Source organism: Homo sapiens, chromosome 5, assembly GCF_000001405.40.
Source record: "Homo sapiens chromosome 5, GRCh38.p14 Primary Assembly".
Classification (NCBI taxonomy): Eukaryota; Metazoa; Chordata; class Mammalia; order Primates; family Hominidae; genus Homo; species Homo sapiens.
Window position 1 is genome coordinate 97,870,509 of NC_000005.10, and position 14,418 is coordinate 97,884,926.

At 33.0% G+C, this 14,418-nt stretch overlaps 1 long non-coding RNA gene across 1 annotated transcript in view; it reads left to right on the forward strand.

The window, feature by feature from the left end:
* LINC02234 (long intergenic non-protein coding RNA 2234) overlaps nt 1-14,418 on the forward strand; it is an 82,718-nt gene that overhangs the window by 29,751 nt on the left and 38,549 nt on the right. The window contains exon 2 of the long non-coding RNA NR_146299.1: nt 10,922-11,059. This is a non-coding gene — a long non-coding RNA (long intergenic non-protein coding RNA 2234). The remainder of the gene's footprint in view (nt 1-10,921; nt 11,060-14,418) is intronic.

Genomic DNA, 14,418 nt, shown 5'->3' on the forward strand with positions numbered 1-14,418 from the left:
GCATTAAAAGATACAAGTCCTATACAAAGCGTACAAGTGGAAGCAAATAGATGCTTATTTATAAAGTGATTGAAAGAGGCTTGCTCACGAGGAAGGTGAACACTTCTGCACACAGTTTCCCAGTGTGGTTTCTTTTCAAAACATTATTCACAAATAGTAAAATGTTAATTTTTGTTCTGTTTATATGAAATAATCACAGCTCCTTTCTTCTAATAATAATATAAATATAATAGTAAGTGCCATTTATTATTGGAAGCTGACTGAGTGCCAGGTCCTGAAAGTGTACTATGTCATGAACACTCTAAAGTATTCTCTGATCAGTATTACTACTGTTCACTCTTAGCAGATGAAGAAACAGATTAAGAGATTTAAATACTAACCTAAGGGAGGGTATGACTAAATCTTATGTTTGATTGTTAAAAACAATTCATAGTGTGTTTTTGTAAATAAAATTGCTGCTATTAGTTTAAATGTTATGCCATCTCATAGACTAAAAGCTTCTCTAATAAACATGTGGAAATAGCTCTGTGAGTTCTTGGCCTAAACTTACCATATAACCCTGAGCACACCTAATAATTTTTGTGGGTCACCATTCTTTGGGTGTAAAATAAGAATAATTTTACTAACCTTGCTTAGGTTTTGTGAAGATTAATGAGTTAATCACATCTAGAACACAGTCTGTAATTCTTTGATGACAAGGACATGAAAAATGTTCAGTACAATATTAAGACCAAGAAAGAAGGCTGTGTTTATCATGCACAGAGTCCAGTGAATGGGCTGCCATAGGGGTTAGGATTAAGTTCTTTATTTTTTAATATTACAGATGGGAATAAACTGCACATAATGACCAGAGCCTGCAGAATGGTTAAGTGGCTGGAAGGGGATATATTTATCATTCTGAGTAACAAACCACACTGCAGAGTGCTCAGATCCTAACCTGGCCTGTGTCACTTACTAGCAAACTAACACTAGACAAGTTGCTTTACCTTTCTGAACCTTGGATTCTATAGCTGTAAAATAATAAGAAGAACATCTATTTCACATGACACTTACTTCATATCCATTCATTATATACCATATATCAGTTACTGTTGGGTGCTTGAGACACAGAGAGGGACAGAAAAAGTCATTTCCCTAATGAAACTTGCATTCTAAAGAAGAAAACAGACAATACATAATGCAAAAATAAGCAAACAATATATTTTCAGGAAATTTTAAAGACTACAAGAGAAATAAGGCAAGATAAGGGGATGGAAGAATGATGTGGGGTAGGACATAGAACTTACATATGATCATAGTGGCCTGAATGATACAAAGAGGAGCCATATGTGGACCTGGTGATGGACCATTTCGGACAGAGGAGACATGGGAAAGGCTCTGAGGCAGGCAGGAACTTGGCATGTTTGTGGAAAAGCAAAATGGCTAGTGTAGTCAGAGCAGCATGTGAGAGGGAAATTCTGGAAGCTGAACGTATAGCGGTGGCTAAGAGCCCTATTGCATAGGGCCTTCTGCTCCTCATAAAGTCTTACTGTTTTATTATAGGTGTTGTTAGAAGCCCTTCATAGGTTTTAACACAAGAATGAAGGTTTATCAAGATCTGTCTGGTTGCTGGGTTGAGAACAGACACAGGAGAACAAGAATGAAAACAGAGAAACCTGTACTGAATTGCTGTAGTGATTCAAATGAGGTATGATAGTGAATTGGACTGGGAAGCAGTTAGAGGAGGTAAAAGGTAACTTTAAGACATGGAGGGTACTTTGAAGGTTGAGTAGACAGTTTGTTCTGAGGGATTGTAAAGAGTGGAGTGAAAGAGAAAGAGAAATCCAGTACAGTGCTTAGGGTTTTTGTCTTGGGCCTACGAGGAAACTATAGCTTAAAATAAATACATGTAAAAGTTTACCAATGTCAAAACAAATAAGAAGCCATGCCAAATTCTCAATATAAGGCAAGCATGACAAAAGAAGACCCATGCTGGTAAAAATGCAAGTACTGGAGTGCTTGGGGGATCATACAAAGCAACTTGAATTCTTCCAAACACATAGGTACACCATAGCAATCATTTGTAAGAATCGATTAAAGGATGGAGATGCTAATTATGTAACATGAAAAACACTTCAGCCATATAAAACTTTCTTATAGTTTGTACCCTGAATTGTTAAATTGAAGTTGAGACTTCAAAACAAATAAAAGAACATATTTGTAAAGATTAGATAGGGAGAAAATTGAAAAACAAAGAAAGAAAGTTTGAACTCTCAACTAATAACCTGGTTTATAAAATATCATTTATTCTATAGCTGGTAGATGTCATATCGACATCTGCTAACTGGCAGAATGCATTCAGATGTCTGTAGTTTTTAACGTCTAGTGCAAAAGACCATACATGATTTTATATATGTACATATATGTACATCAATATATGTAGATTATATATGCATATATTTATATATGTATATTATATATGTATATATTTATATATTTATTCATATTATTTATTCATATTATATAATTATATATTTATTTATATTTATTTATTCATATTATATATTTATTTTATATATTTATTATATATTAATTCATATATATGCATATATTTATGCATATATAATATATGAATATGTATATATAATATATATGAATGAAAAGGACAGCATAAGTCATGGATATATAAAATATATATTATATATATACACGTATAATCTTATATCTGTAGTTTTTGATACCTAGTTCAAAGGACCATGCATGATTTTATATATATATATGAATGAATGAGTGTATGTATATATAACATATAACATATGTTATATGTTATATATAACATATACATATGTATATGTAATATATAACATATAACATATGTATATGTATATATAACATATAACATATGTATATGTATATATAACATATAAATATGTATATGTATATATAACATATAACATATGTATATGTATATATAACATATAAATATGTATATGTATATATAACATATAAATATGTATATGTATATATAACATATGACATATGTATATGTATATATAACATATGACATATGTATATGTATATATAACATATGACATATGTATATGTATATATAACATATGACATATGTATATGTATATATAACATATGACATATGTATATGTATATATAACATATGACATATGTATATGTATATATAACATATGACATATGTATATGTATATATAACATATGACATATGTATATGTATATATAACATATGACATATGTATATGTATATATAACATATGACATATGTATATGTATATATAACATATGACATATGTATATGTATATATAACATATGACATATGTATATGTGTATATATAACATATGACATATGTATATGTGTATATATAACATATGACATATGTATATGTGTATATATAACATAACATATGTATATGTATATATATAACATATTGAGTGTGTGTGTATGTGTATATATATGTATATATATACATATATACATGTATATACATATATACATGTATATACATATATGTGTATATATACATGTATATACGTATACATGTATATATATACATATATACGTATATACATATATATACATGTATACGTATGTATATGTATATGTATACATGTATACATATATATACGTATATATGTATATATATACATGTATATACATATATATGTATGAATGAGAAGGCCAGCAAATCGCAACTGAGCAGTAGAGTTGGATTTAATCACAGGCATACAAAAGAATTAATATAGTGAGCAAGTGCATATTTGCAATGCAATCAGAAAACAAATTCCCACACTGAAAATAAACAAACAGAGAGAGACAAGAAAGACAGATGCATACACACACACACACACACACACACAGAGAGAAGAAAAAAGAAGGGAAGAAGGGAGAGTGAGAAGGAGAAAGGAAGGAAGGAAGAAAGGGAGAGAGGGAGGAAAACACAACTTTGGTTTATAAACACAAAAATGATTTTTAATGGATAAGAATGCTAGTCTCTCTCTTTACATAAAAACATCTGAAACATACTCCTTTGCTTTTGAGATAGCATGATAATCAGGAAGATACAGTTCAGCAGGAAAAAGATTAAGAGAAACTAAGAGTAGTACATAAAGTGAAGAAGGAACATATCCACGGAGAATTGGCTTCTGTCTCAAAAATTTTCCCAAGTTGTACAGATGAGTCAGAACTATAAATTTAATAGTTCAGTAAATTCCAGAACAATGTGAAAATTATACACAGACATGAAAGTAGATGGTGAACAGCAATCCTGCAACACATGCAAGCAGATGAACAGATAGAAGATCTAGCTAGAGTGTGGGAATAAATTTGCATGAAGTATGAACGTTGAAGAGTTTTTCTTCAATATGATTATTGTGTGTGCCTCGACAAATGATTTACTAGTCTCTCATGATTTGATGTGCCATTATGGATAAAGATATTTACAGATAATTTACATCTCTTATGGAAATAATTTCCCTTCTAGTACTTGTGAGTGGGAGCAATATTTGTAAATAACAACAATTAAATATTGAAAGCTATCATTTCTTTTTCCTGAAAATTTAGGACTAAAATTCTATAAATGTCCTCTTATGATAGAAAAATTAGAGTTCTTCATATTATAAATTAAATATTGAGGTTACATGGTAGATAACAATCATAAATTCTGGCTCCCATCTTGGCTTTTTACTTCTGCTTTAAGAATACAGAATTAGTGAACATTCTCGAGTGAGTGACATGGAAGTGATACTTTATCATAAAAATGCTTTATTTATTGTATACACTATTAGAAACTTTGTTATTTATTTTTATTAAAATGTTCTTTCTTTGGTTATTTCCAAGAGCCAACATATCTATTACATTTTTACATTTGGGTTAAGGACCCCTATAGTCGGCTGAGGGTCCATTCTTCCAATGTAAGTGATTCTTATAAATGGAAATGGAAGTTTAGTGTGTGCAAAAGATGTGAAAAATAATATTGCTTCTATGTGCTATACCTACATTTTAACTTTTACTCAACTGAGTGTGTATTTCTGATTCTTCCATTGAGGACATTTTATAACAATCAAAGAATATGAGCAAGCTATAATTGTATATATTCTTTCTTAGAGATAGTCCTGGTTCAGTGTAAGCTGGAAGCTGGTGTTCATTTATATAGATAGTTTATATGGAGGGCATGGGATAGATATGTGAGAAGAATGTTTTCTGAAGATATTGTTTGAGGCAAAATAAAAGGTGGGAGTGGAAGACAGACAGAAATAGAAGGAACAGCATGTACTCCAAGCCTGGATTCTGGGACTTGTTTGACTGTACCAGGAAGAGAGGCATTTTCACCATTTCCATAAGAGCCAGTGTGACTCAGGTTCAGCAAAGAATTGAGGGAACGTAGCAAAGTTTTGTGACTCCTAACCTTCATGCTTTGCTTTGGGTAAAAATGGGCAAAGTATGCCCTGGGAAAGGTAGTGTTATTCTTGGGGAATCCATGGTAAGCAAGGAGACCATGACAAGGTACAAGGGAAGAAAGACCTTGGCAGGAAAGAAGGAGCAGCACTGGGAGGAAACAGAATCCAGGCATTATTGTCGCATAAACTAGTTATTCAGCACCTCCCATGTGCCCAGTGATAAACTAGGGACAAGAGATAAAGCAATGAATACAACATATTAAATGTATGCTCTGAAAGGGTTTATCTCTCCATAAAGGGAGAAGGAATACAGATAAATAAAATGTGTACATACAATATAACATAAAAGTATAAAGAGAGGACTGTGTATTCTTTGATAACATAGAAGGAGCAAGTAGTGTTGGCAAGGATGTGGAGAAAAGGGAACCCTTATACACTGTGAGACTATTAATTGGTACAGCCATTAGGGAAAGTAGTATTAAGGTTCTTCAAAAAATTAAAAAAAGAGCCACTACATGATCCAGCAATCCCACTCCTGGGTACGTATCCAAAGCAAATAACATCACTATCTCAAGATATGTGCACTTCCACATTCACTGCAGCATTATTCACAGTAGCCAAGATATGGAACCCATCTAAGTGTCTGTCAACAGATGAATGAATAAAAATGGAAAACTATTAAATCTTTAAAAAGAAGGAATTCCTATCATTTGCATTAACATGGATGAACCTAGAAGGCATTATGCTACGTTAAATAAGCAGGCACAGAAAGCAAATACTGTATGATCTCACACATATGTCGAATCTAAAGAATCAAAGTTGAGAACAGAGAAGGAGTCAGGTGCTGGATCACAAAGCTGGACAAAGCTTAATAAGGAGGTTGCCTTTATCCACAGGAGAATTAGAAGCCGTTGAATGGTTTTAATGAAAAGAGATGAATTGGTTAGATTTGTATTTTAGAAAGACAACTCTGAATGCAGTTTTGAGAATGTTTTGTGGGGAGGTTAAAAGCAAGAAATCAGGATACAGGATGCTTTAATAAGAGTATAGGAGCAAAATGATGATTCATAAATACTCATGTAACACAAGGAGTCTCACTGAGACTGGATAACCCAGCACCACAGCCACAAGATGCTGGGAGCCACTTCTGCCACTGTCAGTGCTGGAATGACTTCTATTCCATCTCCTGCTTCTGTGGGTCACTCATTCCAGACTCAGAGGCCCTTGGTTTCTGCCCATTTTTGAAGCTTGTTTCTTCAGCCTTCTTATTGACAATGATATTGGAGATTGAGATGAAGAGGAATGAGTAGATTTGAGATAATAGCAAGTGGAGTGAGCATGACTTGGTAATTAGATGGTAGGGAGGAAGAAGAGAAAAAAAAATAAAAGAAAAAGAGGCAGGTTTGGTGTGGCAACTCTGGTTTTGGGCCATGTCAGTGAGTTAAGCATGGAAGGTTTGAGGAAATGCATAGTTGGTTTGGGACACTATAGTCAACCTTCATCATTTCTTTTATCTATCATCTGAATACAAATTAGAGGGGAATCTCTAGATGGAAAGAAAACATAGGAGCAAAGGGGAGCAGATATTCTTTCTCTCAGTTGCTCGTCAGCTAGAGCCTAGGTGAATGACTTGAACTCAGCCGATTGGATGCTGCCCCTGAATCTGGAATTACAGATTATTTGACAGTGTCGAATCCTGGAAGATGTCAAGATATATTAGGATTGAAATGTGGCACTTGCTTTTAAAACAGTGTCTCAACCTCAGCACATTTTGGACTCGGTAATTCTTTATTTTGAGGAACTGTTCTGTCCATTGTGGGATGTTTAGCAGCTTCCTTGGCCTCTACCCACTAGATGCCAGTAGTATGCCTCGGTTGTGACAAAATGTCTTCAGCCATTGCCAAATGTCTCAGGGGAAAAAAAAAATCCCTGATTATTTGTTTGGCAAGAGTAGTTCCAGTGGCACAATTGAGATGGAAGCCAGACAGCAGTAAGCTTAGGAGTGAGGTAGAGAAGAGGGCAACCCTATGGTTACTGCAGATTACTCTTTAAAACTGTTAGATGAAAAGTACAGCTGAGCTATAGAATGGTAGCTTGAAGGGAGAAGAAACATAAGCATGCTTAAATGTGAATGAGGAAGCCAACACACGAGGAGAAGGATGCAGAAGAGGGGATAATTCATACTTCAATGGCCCTAAAAAGATGAGAGGTGCTGCACACTAATAAATGCTACTCAAGTCAGGTCCAAGAACTGGTCTTGATTCATCAACTGTTACTGATTTGTGAGGTGAGGTACAGAAATTGAAAATAAGCATTCAGAAACTTTTATACTAATTTTACACAGTCATTTTGTATTAGTTGAATCTAATAAAAATGTCAGCTTGTATTGATTGAGAATTTTAAAATTTTTGGTTGTTTAAAGATAATTTGAGGAACACTGCTCTAAAGTGCAGGTAGAAAGATTACACTCACATAAGAGTGACAAATACTTCATTCTAAGCCAGGAGAAGGAGAAAAGGGCAGTACAAGAAAAAGAAAGTAGTATTAGTTTCCTTTTTATTTTTTTAAATAAAGACATAATAATTGTAAATATTTTGGAGTAAAGTGAGATGTTTTGATACATATATACATTGTGGGATGATCAAATCCAGGTATTTAGCATTTTTAAAATTGCAAACACTCATTTCTTTGTGGTAAGAACAAAATCCTCTCATAGCTATTTTAAAGTGTAGCATGCAATCTTGTTAACTTTACTCACCCTTCTTCTGTCTCTATTTTCTTTGCAAAGTCAGACAAAATATCATCCACTAAAAGTTAGATGGGAAGTGGTTGATTCAATGGTTTAAGAAAATGGAGCACGGAAAAATATGCTGTGAGGTATGGGAGAGTGTCCTGACCAGAGGAACATAGAAAAGTGTCTGGTTATTGAAAACTCATGAGTGGTCAGATCTATGCATTTCCATTGCTGCCAAACAAGATGCCGGGGAAGATTTCCAGAAATAGTTTGGGGAAATGTTTGTAGGGTGGGATGCCATGTGTGAGCAAGTGGGAGACAATGTGCCCAAAATATTTGGTGAATACACGCTAAGGTAACATTAGTTCATAACAGGCTGGTAAGGAGGGGGAAATTTTTAAAGATTATTTTAAATATTTATACTTAAACATATTACACATCAGATTAGTGGATGGTATTCAAATGTTTTATTTTATCAAGCCTTCTGAGAAAGCCATTTTAGACACATTTATAATGTAAAAACTGAAGTCTGAGAGATTAAGTCTTCTTGTAATCATGTAGTAAACTAGAGTAAAATTGGGGCCAGATTTCAATTTCTGATTCCCTATCTTTGACTCTTTTTTAACTCTATAAAAGCATTGAAAAAGACATGTAAAAACTCCCATTATACTGTAACAAAATAAAGACACGTGTTCTTTTCAATAAGAGAGAGTTTCTGGGATGTCTGTGAGTTTTATCAGAATGTTTTTTTTTTCAGATTGCTCATTTTGTCTAGTGTTTCAAATACAAAAGTCCACCTGTGAATCAGCTTTAGAATATTAAGTTCATTGTCTTCTAAGAATGCAGTTTTACAATAGATTTGACTGCTATTCTTCTCGTGTACAGTCAGAAGTACATAATAATGATAATAACACCTTACGTTTATGTACTGCTTCACAGTTTCCGAAGTGCTTTCATGTACATTATCTTATATGAGCTTCGTAATAGTTCAGTGAATATATTTATTGGTGCTTTGTTTTATTCATGACTGACATATTGACATTAGTCATACATATTCTGTTTATTCAGATGGTTAGCTATACAAAGCTTTAATCAGACAAACAGAAAGATACAGAGCAAAGAGCACTAAAATGTTATTTATAATTCTGAATTGCTTAGTTTCCTTTTTTTATTTGGTTAAATCATCAAAAATGTGCCTTTAACCTATTTAGGAATAGCAGTATTTAAATATATAATCTTTATATCTAGTCAGTGCGCTCCAGATCATTAACAGGGTAATGAATGAGTATTTTAAAATTGCAAGCTATTTTAAGGTATTATTTGTGAATTTGTAACAGTAAGTATTTTAATAAGATTGAAAAATCTAAGAAAAATATATTTTGAAATTTTGTTTCTCATTATATAGAAAATCCATATTTATTTAGAAATTTAAAGGAATATAGAATTTAATTAAATGATTGCCTTTTAATATTAGTTACACTACACAAAGATGTTTCATTTGCATTAAAAAGGTGTACAATAATATGCTATAACTCTAAAGTTATTCACAATTTATTCTTTCTTTAAAAATCCAGAAAAAAATAGGGTATCTTGAAAAATAACAGAATATACCAATTTAAAGTTACTCTGTTTTAATTTTTAGGGTATTTAAATATTTATTTTACATAGAAATTAACTTACTAATTTTTCTCCCTTTCTAAAAATTATAGATTTATACTAACAGTTTAAAGAGAAAGTTTTGGATGTATTTATTTATTTATTTTTATCTCATATTTCAGAGGAAAATATTTTTGAGCAGAGTAAACTAAAAATAAAAATCAAATCAATCTCCACATTTCCTTTATTTATTGATGTGTGTGTTATATAGTGTGGTCTCATGGTATTTGCATGACATGTGCAGTATTGAAAAATGGCTAACAAGTACAATGAGAGATGTTGATTTGTCATCAAAATATATCTTTCATATTTGTCACACTGAATATTGTTGCCTATACTCTTAGGCTGTTTTAGAAAGTTATTCTTTCTGTAGAACAGTATGAAAAGTAGAAACACCACTTTTTAAAAAATTGCCTATACATTCTAAATTTTTTTAATTATTAAATTATTTAGACCTCTATCAAAATTGTATTCCAAAATATTATATTATAAAATTAACTCTAGTAAATTGTAGATATATTGGAATAATATTAAACAGAATTTGACACTTTTGGAAATCAGTTGCTTGTGATTGTATCTCATTAATAGGACAATGTATACATTATTTTGCCATTTTGAATTTATTATCAGCGTGGAAAAGAGCTAAATTTTAGTCATTAGTAAAATAGAAAAGCTTTTGATAATCTCTTAGCATCATGCTAATTAGGTTTACTATCCTAGAAAATATATCAACTGAAGGCTGTAGCTAGGCAGCTTAATATCTGCCCCTCAAAATTTGATAGAATAGATATAATAGGTGTCACGAGGCATAACTAATCACCTAATGTAAAAAAACAAATAATGAACTATGTTGTAAATATTCTGAATATACTCTAATTGCTTCTTCCTAACCAAATTCACATTATTATAGAAAATTATAATACATTTGGATAAAATTCCGTAATATATTTCAATTGTACTCATCAACACATTTAGTGAGACATTCTTTTATTATACTTTAAAATTCACATAAATTAATAGGAGTTTTTAAAGAGATTGTGAAAAGTGACAGCACTGTGGAAACATACAATTACACTAAATTTTTATCTTTCCTTTGACAACAAATCTCTCTTGAATCCATTTAGGATTTTAAAACAATCTATCACCTATCTTTGACCATATGGACTAAAATTGATATCCACCAATAGACACTGATGCCTGCAAGTCAACAGCATAAAGAGTGGTAAAGTCAGTGCTGCAAAAGATGAAATGTTTTTAATGTGGTAAGTAGACAAAACTGTTACTGCTTTGTGGGTAATACATATAAAATATAACACTGAGTATTTGAGAAATATATAGATGAGAAAAGTTAGCTACCACCTTTTGTTCTCATTCTTTTATTTAAGCTTTTGCAAAAGGAATAATCCTGTATATTTATATATGTTAATCAAGAGACCACCTTTAAACATCTGGCCAATGTCAAAATTTAAACAATGCAACAATTATTTTGGGGACAAAATTGATTCCATTTCTGTTCTGTTACTTATTGTACTAGCTATAAAAGAACAGATGTTTGACATATATAAATTTATTTTAATAGTTTCATTAGGTCTTTATCTGCAGTTTGTCAGTGTGGCTCTACAGATATATTCAACCATCTGTTCCTTGGACCTGTGTTTCATGTAACTTACAGGAGTGTATTAATTTTATTGGATCAGTCATTAATCAATCAGAAGTTTGTTTGCCCTGCAGTGTTCCCAAAAGACAGACTTCATCAGAAAAAAAAAAAGACACTCACTAGCTTGTTAAATAACCTTTTCATTTTTAATGTAATTTCTCCTATGTAGTTAACAGTCACAGATTTTGAAAAAGCATATTACAGAAGACTTTTTGGTTTCGAAACCAAAATTCATTTACCTCAGAGCTTCCATGAGCATTACTCAGAAATATCCATAGACAGTATTTTTAAGAATTTGTTTTTTTTCTGACAAAAGGAGTGATACAAATTTACATCTATGTTATCACTTTTGCATCTGCTTTTGAAATGATACATTGTGAAACATTTTTAGAATACTATGAATTTGTGACTGGAAAAATTTAAATGTTTGAGATGGTGATGTTTGCCATAAAGGCTCATAATCTCAGTTCCGCAGACTGACAGAGGAGCCACCATCAGAAACAGACACAGCATCAGCCCCCTCAGTAACTGGGTTATTGCCCAGAACTAGGTAAAATTGATCCTATCTTTCAAAAATTCATTTCCAACACTTAGAGAATTACCTTAGGATGGCAGTCCCTTTTCTTGTGTAGCTCATATATCTCTGTATCCTTCAGCCTTCTGAGGTTGCTCTTTGCTTCATTGTTCTAACATGCTGCCTTGTATCTCCCGGCCTCATGCTGTAGAAAGTCTCATCTGATATTTTAGTGTTTCCTAGAGTTTCATCTCTACTGGGTCAGTCTAATCTGACTTGCTTCCTACCTGTTATTACTTCTGCCCCTTAAGATGCTAATTGTTTTGTGTGTTTCTTCAAATCAGTCAGAATGCTCTTCAGATACTTTTATTCTCACAAAGTTTTACTAATACTAAGTTATTTTTTTAAATCAACTTTTCCTAAAGCTCGGTTTGAGAGTAACAGAAGAGGATTACAAGCAATAATATACAGTGGAATATTAAATATTACCACCCTAAAATGCAATCCAAAACTTCTGGAAATTTCTACTCTTAAGCCCTAACTCTTACTTAGGCATTTTCTTGAGTTTGTAAATATCTTTCTCTCCAGAAATCCCTCCTCCAAGTGCTAAAATCCCATTTCTTTTTTTTTTTTTTAATTTATTTTTTGAGATGGAGTTTCACTCTTGTCGCCCAGGCTGGAGTTCAATGCTGCTATCTTGGCTCACTGCAATCTCCACCTCCCCGGGTTCAAGTGATTCTCCTGCCTTAGCTTCCTGAGCAGCTAGGATTACAAGTGTGTGCCACAACGCCTGGCTAATGTTTATATTTTTAGTAGAGATGGGGTTTCACCATGTTGGCCACGCTGGTCTTGAACTCCTGACCTCAGGTGATCCACCCACCTAGGCATCCCAAAGTGCTGGGATTACAGGCGTGAGCCACCACTCCTGGCCCCCATTTCTTTCTTATGTAGAGTTGTGCACTTCTTCACTTCACCCACTCTAAGCTCAGGATCTGATTTTACACCACCCAAAACTAATGCAGTTGTTCTGTTAAGCAAACAATCATTTATTTTAGGTGCTTACCCTTCAGCATTAATAAATGTAAGAAGCTTTGATATTTATTTATTTCATTTCTCAAATTCTTAAGAAGTTCTGCCACATGCCAGTCTATAAATGATAAAGATTTCTTTTCACTCTGCTAGAGCAAGACTTTGTGGTTTTACTATATAATACATTCACAAGTTTGCACAGAGTCTAGCATTAGGCAGATCTGCTATCTACATTTGAGAAATTAACTAACCTTTTCTAAGCTTCTGTTTCCTTCTCATTAAAACAAGCAAAGTATATAACTTTTAAGATTGTTGAGAAACTAAAAATACTAAATGAAATGCAAAATTTCAGTAATGGGATCTCTCTCTCTTCTTGTATCTTCTCCTGCTCTCTTTCTCTATTTTTCTCAGTAGAGGTGTCATTTTACTAACTGGAACTATTTTATTCATCTTAGACATTATATTTCTAATTTCCCAAATGCACGGGGTGTCCTTATTCACAGTACAATAAATTATTGAACCAGTCCAATCCATAGCCTGAGAAAACAGCTTCACTGGCTGGGCGTGGTGGCTCATGCCTGTAATCCCAGAACTTTGGGAGGCCAGGGTGGGTGAATCACCTGAGGTCAGGAGATCAAGACCAACCTGACCAACACGGCAAAACTCCGTCTGTGCTAGCAATACGAAATGAGCCGGTTGTGGTGGCACATGCCTGTAATCCCAGCTACTTGGGAGGCTGAGGCAGGAGAATCACTTGAACCCAGGAGATGGAGGTTGCAGTGAGCCAAGATCACGTCATTGCACTCCAGCCTGGGCAACAAGAGCAAAACTCTGTCTCAAAAAAAAAAAAAAAAAGAGAGAGAGAGAGAAAGAAAGAGGAAGGAAGGAAGGAAGGAGCGAGACAAAGAAAGAAGAAAAAGAAAGAGAGAAATAAGAAAGAAAAGAAAGAAAGAGAAAGAAAGAAAAAAAGAAAAGAAAGAAAGAAAGAAAAAGAAAGAAAGAAAGAAAGAAAGAAAGAAAAAAAGAAACTACCTTCTTCAACGTTGGTTCCTGCCTTCCTTGATTGCTTGGAACCAGTTTTTGGTCTCTGTGTTAAAAAACCTACTCAAGCTCTGAAATTTTAAATTCTTCAGGAAGGAGGAGACTTTTAAAATTTATCTTCTCTCCAATTAACTGCCATTTTCCCCCTTTCTTTTGTTCCTCTTTATAATAGTTGAATTTCTACTTATATCTCCTTAGCTTATAATTTTTAATTACTGTCAGATGGAAGCTCTAGATTAATTAATCTCACCAGATGGCCCTTTAAAACTCATGCATATTATATTTAAGGCATTATCCTTGCTCATAAGACAACTCTAGTAATAATATTTAGTGCTCTATCCCTGGTTCTGAGTCTCTATTTCCCCCAGCTTAAAGTTGGA